Raw genomic sequence first — 8,160 nt, 5'->3', positions numbered from 1 at the left:
CCCGACCCCAGGCAGCCACTGATCCTTCTGTGTTTCCTGTCACCACGGGTTCATCCACGTTTTCCAGAGTTTCTGTAAGTGGCATCACGCAGTATCTAGCCTTTCTCATCTGGCTGCTTCTACTAAGCGTAGTTAGTTTGAGATTTATCCGTGTTGCTATGGTATCAACAGTTTATCCCTTTACAGTCATACGGATAGACCACAATGTCTTCATCCATCCAGATGTTGACGGGCATTCCGGTGGCTTCCAGCTTGGGGCTGTTGCAAATAAAGTGTACAGTGAACATTCACATGCAAGCTTTGCACGGACATTTATTTCTTTTCTCTTGGCTAAATCGGAACTGCTTGATTGTGTGGTCAGTGTACGCCTAACTTTACAAGAAGTTGCCAAGCTGTTTTCCAAAGTGCCTGCACCATTTTCCATTCCTATCAGCAGTATAGGAGACTTGTAGTTTCTGCACACGGTCACCAGTACTTGACATGATCAGTCTTTTTAATTTCAGTCCTTCTAAGAGGTGACTGACGGCGTCTCATTGCGGTTTTAATTTGCATTTTCCTCATGACGAATGACACTGAGCATCTGTCCCTGTGCCATCTTGCTGGTCTTCGCTGAAGTGCCTGTTCACATCTTCTGCTAATTATTTATGGGGTTCTATGTTTCCTTAATGAGTTTTGAGAGTTCTTTGTATACTCCAGATGCAAATCCTTCATCAAATATGTACATTGCTGGTGTTCTCTCCTTATATATGACATGTCTTTTCATTCTCTTAACAATGTCTTTTGAAGAGCAGACATTTCTAATTTTGATTAAGTCTAACTTACCCGTCTTTTATTTTATGGAGTGTGCTTTTGCTGTCGTATCTAAGAAATCTTTACCTAACCCAAGGTCACAAAGACTGCCTCCATTTTTTTTTCTTCTAGAAGTTTTATAGTTCTAAATTTTACATTTGTGTTCATGATCCATTTTGAGTTTTTTTTTATATGGTGCAAGGTCTGGATTGACTCTTTTTCATTTTTTATTGCATATGAACGTCCAGTTACTCCAGCATCAAGATCATTCTTTTTTACTGAATAGCCTTTTGCATCTTTGTCAGCCTGCTAGGATTTTAATTGGAATTACGCTGACTCTATAGATCATTTTGGGGATAATTGACATCTTAACAATATGGAAACTTCTAATCTATGAACAGTTTCTCTCAGCAATGTGTTCTCATTTTCAGTGTGCGGGTATCAGAGGCATTTGAACCAGAGTGACTCCATTTTGAATAAGGACTGGGTGAAATAAGACTGAGACCTACAGGGCTGCTTTCCCAGAAGGTTAGGCGTTCGTAGTCACAAGATGAGAGATAGGAGGTCCGCACAAGATGCAAGTCACAAAGACTTGGCTGATAAAACAGGTTGCAGTAAAGAAGCTGACCCCAAACCCACCAAAACCAAGACAGCCATGAAAATGACCTCTGGTCAGCCAGGCACGGTGGCTCATGCCTGTAATCCCAGCACTTTGGGAGGCTGAGGCAGGCAGATCATGAGATCAGGAGTTCAAGAACAGCCTGACCAACATGGTAAAACCCCATCTCTACTAAAAATACAAAAATTAGCCGGGCACGGTGGTGCATGCCTGTAATCCCAGCTACTCAGGAGGCTGAGGCAGGAGAATTGCTTGAACCCAGGAGGCGGAGGTTGTGGTGAGCTGAGATTGCGCCACTGCACTCCAGCCTGGGCGGCAGAGTGAGACTCCGTCTTAAAAAAAGAAAAAAGAAAGTGACCTCTGGTCATCCTCACTGCTCATTATACTGTAATTATAATGCATTAGCATATGACACGACACTCCCACCAGTGCCATGACAGCTTACAAATGCCATGGCAATGTCAGGAATTTCCCCTATATGGTCTAAAAGGGGGAAGAACCCTCAGTTCTGGGAATTGCCTACCCCTTTCCCGGAAAACTCATGAATAATCCACCCCTTCATTAGCATATAATCAAGAAATACAGTATAAGTGTTAGTCGAGCAGCCCACGTCACTGCTCTGCCTATGGAGTAGCCATTCTTCTGTTTCTTTACTTTCCTAATAAACTTGCTTTCACTTCACTGTATGGACTCACCTCAAATTCTTTCTTGTGTGAGATCCAAGAACCCTCTTTTGGGGTCTAGATTGAGACCCCTTCCTGATAACATAGGTATTTCACATCTTTTTCAGATTTATCCCAAGTATTTTAGATTTTGATATTATTATAAAAGAGTTTTGTTTTTACATTTAATTTCTGTTGCTACTATATAAAAACAATTCATTTGTATATTGATCTTTTTATTTTGCAACTTCGCTAAACTCATGTGTTAGTTCCAGTAGCTTCTTAGTATATCTGATGGGATTTTCTCCTTAGACAATGATATTATCTGTAAGTACACTTGCACTTCCACTTGCCCACACTGGATGCTTGTGAAGTTCCTTGTTCTTGTGTTATTTCACTAGCTGGAACCTTCAGGATGATGCTGAATACAAGCAGTGAGAGTGAACATCCTTGTCCTGTTTCAGATCTGAGGGAGAAGCATCCAATCTTCAGCCATTAAGTGTGGTATTCTCTGTACGTCATTCATAGATACCCTTTCTCAGGCTGAGGAAGTTCTCTTCTAATCCTAGTTTGCTGAGATTTTTTTTTTTTTTTTGAGGAATGCCTGTTGGGTTTGATCAGATGCTTTTTCTGCATTTATTGAGTTGATCATATGGTTTTCCTTTTGTACTTTGTTAATATGTGGAATTACTTTGATTTTCTAGGGTTAAACCAACCTTGTATTCTTAGGATAAACCCCACTTAGTCATACTACATTATCTTTTTTTATATGTTATTGGATGTGAATTGCTAACCGTTTTGTTTTGAATTTTTGCATAAATATTCCTTAGGGTTGTTCCATAGTTTTGGGGGGGTGCGGCTTGTAATGTCTTCTGATTTGTATATCATAGTAATGTTGGTCTCACAGAGTGAGTTGGAAAGCATTCCTCCTCTTCAGTTTTCTTAAAGAGTTCATGTAGAATTCTTGATTAAAACAAACTGGAAGAAAAGAGTTAATGTAGAATTGATATTATTTCTTTTTTAAATAGTTGATCCAATTCATCGGTAAACCCATTGAACCTTGAAGTTTTCTTCCTGAGGTTTTAACTACACATCGGTGTCTTGATAGACATAGAGTTATTCACATTGTCTTTTTCTTTTGTGGTGAGCTTTAGTAGTTTGTATCTTCAGAAGTTTGTCCATTTTATCTGTTTTCAAAGGTATTGGCATAAAGTTGTTCATAATTTCTCTTACTATCCTTTTAACATCTGTAGGATCTGTAGTGCTATCATCCCTCTTCTTCCTGATGTTAATAATTTGTCTCTTCTCTTTTATTCCAGGTCAGTCTGGCTAGAAACAGCTTTGGGTTTTATTATTTCTACTGCTTTTTTGTTTTCTTTCACCATTGTTGCTTTGATCTTTATTTTCTTTCTTCTGCTTACTTTGTCTAATTTGCCCTTCTTTAGTTCCTTAAGGTCGAAGCTGAAGTCTCTGATTTGAGACCTTCTTTTTTTTAATGTGGACATTCAGTGCTATAAGTTTCCCCCTAGTTTCTGCTCTAGTGGCATCCCACAAATTCTGATATTTTGTTTTTATCTTCATTCAGTTCAAATGACTTAACTAACCTCCCTTTTGATTTCTTCTTTGACGTATGGGTTATTTAGAAGTGTGTTAGTTTCCACATTTTTTGAAAATCTCCAGATGCCGTTCTGTTACTAATTTCTCATTTAATTTCATTATTGTCAGAGAACATTCTCGGAACGGTCTAAATCCTTCTACTTTTTTTGGAGACGGAGTCTCATTCTGTCACCCAGGCTGGAGTGCATGGCGCAATCTCAGCTCACTGCAACCTCTGCCTTCCAGGTTCAAGTGATTCTCCTGCCTCCTACCTCAGCCTCCCGAGTAACTGGGATTACAGGCACGTGCCACCACGCCTGGCTAATTTTTGTATTTTTAGTAGAGAGGGGGTTTCACCATGTTGGCCAGGCTGGTCTCGAACTCCTGATCTCAGGTGATCCACCTGCCTCGGCCTCCCAAAGTGCTGGGATTACAGGCGTGAGCCACTGCATCTGGTCACATTTCTTGAAATTTGTTTTAAGGTCCATCCAGAATGTTACTGCCTTGGTAAATGTTGTGTGTGTACTTGAAATCTGTGTGTATCCTGTATCCTGCTGGAATGTGCTATATCGATGTCAAGTAGCTGACATTTTTAATAATGTTTGCGAAGCTTTTATATCCTTGCCAATTTTCTGTCTTCCTGTTCTATCAGTTATTGATAGATGAATATTGACATCTCTGACTATTATTACAGATTTCTCTATTCCTTCTTGCATTCCAGTTTTTGTTTCATATATAAATGGACGCTTTTATCATTATGAAATGACCTTTATTGCTAGTAATATTCTTTGCTCTGAAATCTGCTTTGTTTGATACAGAGTTGCACTGTCAGTAAGCAACCTTGGGTATATCACGCATTTGGTTCCAGATCACTGTGATTAAACCAATATCACAATAAAGCAAGTGCCATGCATTTTGTTTCCCAGTGCATATAAAAGTTATGTTTATCCTATGCTATAGTCTGTCAAGTGTACAATAGCATTATGTCTTTAAAAAACAATGTACATGTTCTGATTTTAAAAATACTTTATTGCTTAAAAATGCTAATGATCACCCGAACCTTTAGCCAGTTGTAATCTCTTTGCTGGTGGAGGTTCTTGCTTTGATGGTGATGGCTGCTGACAGATCAGGGTGGTGGTTGCTGAAGGTTGGGGTGGCTGTGACAGTTTCTTAAAAACACCAGTGGGCTGGGTGCTGTGGCTCAAGCCTGTAATCCCAGCACTTTGGGAGGCTGAGGCAAGTGGATCACTTGAGGCCAGTAGTTCGAGACCAGCCTGGCCAACATGGTGAAACCCTGTCTCTACTACAAACACAAAAATTAGCCGGGCATGGTGGCACGTACCTGTAATCCCAGCTACTTGGGAGGCTGAGGCATGAAAATCGCTTGAACCTGGGAGGTGGAGGTTGCAGTGAGCTGAGATCACATCACTGCACTCCAGCCTGGGCAACAGAGCACGACTCCATCCCCACCCCCCCCCCCCCCGCCAAAAAAAAAAAAACACAGCAATGAAGCTGGCCACATTGATTGACTCTTCCTTTCATGAAAGATTTCTCTGTAGCATGCAATGCTCTCTAAAACCATTTTACCTACAGTAGAACTTCTTTCTATCTTGGAGCCAAGCCTCTCAACCCCTCAAACTGCTTTATCAACTAAGTTGATGTACTTTGCTGTCATTTTTCAACAATGTTCACAGCATTTTCACCAGGAGCAGATTCCATCTCAAGAAACCACTTTCTTTGTTCATTCATAAGCAGCAGCTCCTCATCCATTCAAGCTTGATCATGAGATTGCAGCAGTTTAGTCACATCTTCAGGCTCTGCTTCTAATTCTAATTCTCTTGCTATTTTCACCACATCTGTCCATCTTCCTCCACTGACCTCTTCTTGAACCAAGTCATCCATGAGGGTTGGAACCAACTTCTGCAAACTCCTGTTAATGGTGATACTTTGACCTCCTCTCATAAATCACTGATGTTCTTAATGGCATCTAGAATGACAGCTCCTTTCCAGAAGGTTTTCAGTTGACTTTGCCCAGATTCATTAGAGGAAGCACTCTGTGACAACTATAGCCTTAGAAAATGTATTTCTTAAATAATAACACTTGAAAGTCAATTGTCCCTTGATCTAGGGGCCACAGGATGGATGCTGTGTTAGCAGTCATAGAAACAACGTTCATCTCCATCAGAGCCCAGTAACTAGTTGCATTGTCAGTGAGCAATAATATTTTGAAAGGAATTTTGTTTTCTGAGCAGGAGGTCTCAACAGTGGGCTTAAAATATTCAGTGCACTGTGCTACGTTTGAACAGATGTGCTGTCATCCAGGCTTTGTTGTTCCACTGATAGAGCACAGACAGAGAAGACTTAGCATCATTCTTAAGGGCCCCAAGAGCTCATTTACCGTCTCCATATTAGCAGTAAGCCTGTTCTGCTTTCTTATCATTCATGTGTTCGTTGGAATAGCCCTTGTGATTTCCTTTACGAACTTCTCCTTTGCAGGCTAGCTGTGTGGTGCAAGAGACCTAGCTTTTGGCCTCAGTTTTCAACATGCCTTCCTCACTAAACCTAATTATCTCTAGCTTTTGATTTAAAGTGAGAGACATGTGAGTCTTCTTTCACTTGAACACCTAGAAGCCATTCTAGGGTTATTAATGGGCCTGGTTTCAATATTGTTGTGACGGTCGTGTCTCAGGAAATGGGGAGGCCTAAGGAGAAGGAGAGAGATGGGGGATGGCTGGTCAGTGGAGCAGTCAGAACACACACATTTATCAGTTAAGTTTGCTCTCTTATGGGCACTGTTTGTGGAGCTCCGAAACCATTACAATGGTGACATCAAAGATCACAGATGACAGAGTACCATAAAAGATATACTAGTAATGAAAAAGTTGGAAATATATACGACACAGACATGAAGTGAATCCACGCTTTTGGAAAAATAGTGCCAATAGACTTGCCAGACACAGACCTTAAACTTGTAAAAAATGCAGTGTCTGTGAGGCACAGTCAGGCCACGGATGAAGCGAGGTGTGCTCATGTGAACACAGGGCGAATTGGCTTCTGTGAGCACGCTGTATCTGCTTCACGTTACTTTTAATCTACTGCGTCTTCATAGTTAAAATGTGCTTCTTAAAAGCAGGATATAGCTGAGTCTTAAATATGCATAGAATCTGACATTCTCTGCCTTTTCACTGGGCCATTTACATTTAAATTGATTACTACTTTGATTAGATAAGTCTATCATCTTGTTATTTGTTTTCTGTTTGTCCTGTCTGTCCTTTGTTCTTTTTTCTTCCCTCTTTTTCTGCCTTTCTTGGATTGAATTTTTTACAAGTTCATGTGCCTCCTTTTTTGATTTGTTAACTGTATTTTTTACAGGTTGTGTTAGGATTTAGGGCACGTAGATCTTTAACAGTCATCCTCGAATGATACGACACCGCCTTATGTGTAGTGTGAGAACCTGACAGTCACATACTTCCAGTCTTCTCCTTCCTGCCTTAGTCATCTGCTTATAATATATTTTATTTATGCACATGATAAACCCCACAATACTTTGTTTTTATTTCTGTTTAGTCAGCTATCTTTGAAAGAGATGTAAATAATAATTGTAAATGTTGTATATGTCTGCCCATGCAGCTCCCACCCCTCATTCATGGAAGGAGTAGAGCTGTTCTTCCTTCTTCTTGTGTAGGCCCATGTTTGTTTTTATTTTTATTTATTTTTTTTGAGACAGAGTCTCACTCTGTCGCCCAGGCTGGAGTGCAGTGGCACGATCTCGGCTCACTGCAACCTCCGCCTCCCAGGTTAAAGCGATTCTCCTGCCTCAGCCTCCCGAGTAGCTGGGATTACAGGGATGTGCCACTGCACGTGGCCAATTTTTGTATTTTTAGTAGAAACAGGGTTTCACCATGTTGGCCAGGCTGGTCTTGAACTCCTGACCTCAGGTGATCCTCCCACCTCGGCCTCCCACAGTGCTGGGATTACAGGCGTGAGCCACCGGCCTGGCCTGTTGTGTAAGCCCCTGTTTGCATCCTCATTTTCCTTCTGTCTGAAGGGCTTCCTTTAATATTCTTGCAGTGTGAATCAGCTGCTTTTTGGGATATTTTAAGCTCTTGCACACCTGAAGAAGTCTTTATTTGGGGGGAGATATTTCCACTGGGTGGAGAATTCTGGGCTTTGTCTTTCTGTACTTTACAGAGGTGATCTCACTGTCTTCTTAATTCCAGTATTTCCTCTGAGAAGTCTGCTGTCATTCTCATCTTTGTTCCTCTGTCGGTCAGTTGTCATTTCTTCCTCTGACTGCTTTTAAGATTTCATCTGTACTACTGGTTTTGAGCAGTTTGATTATGATGTACTTTGTGTACTTTAATGTTGTTTCCTCCCCCTGCCTTTTTTTTTTTTTTTGGTGGTTGGGGTTCTTTGAACTTCTCAGATCTCTCAGTTTACACTTTTCCACACATTTCAGAAAATTGGGGCCACTACTTTTTCAAGACTCTTTGC

General features: G+C 40.8%; 1 protein-coding gene across 6 annotated transcripts in view; it reads left to right on the top strand.

Annotated features, from left to right (window-relative positions):
• The window catches only part of MAD1L1 (mitotic arrest deficient 1 like 1), a 417,151-nt gene that overhangs the window by 395,163 nt on the left and 13,828 nt on the right, over positions 1 to 8,160 (top strand). The gene's annotated exons all lie outside the window — the stretch shown is intronic.

The sequence above is a fragment of the Homo sapiens genome, chromosome 7 (genome assembly GCF_000001405.40).
Source record: "Homo sapiens chromosome 7, GRCh38.p14 Primary Assembly".
Lineage (NCBI taxonomy): Eukaryota > Metazoa > Chordata > Mammalia > Primates > Hominidae > Homo > Homo sapiens.
This window is presented reverse-complemented; position numbering and strand designations above follow the sequence as displayed.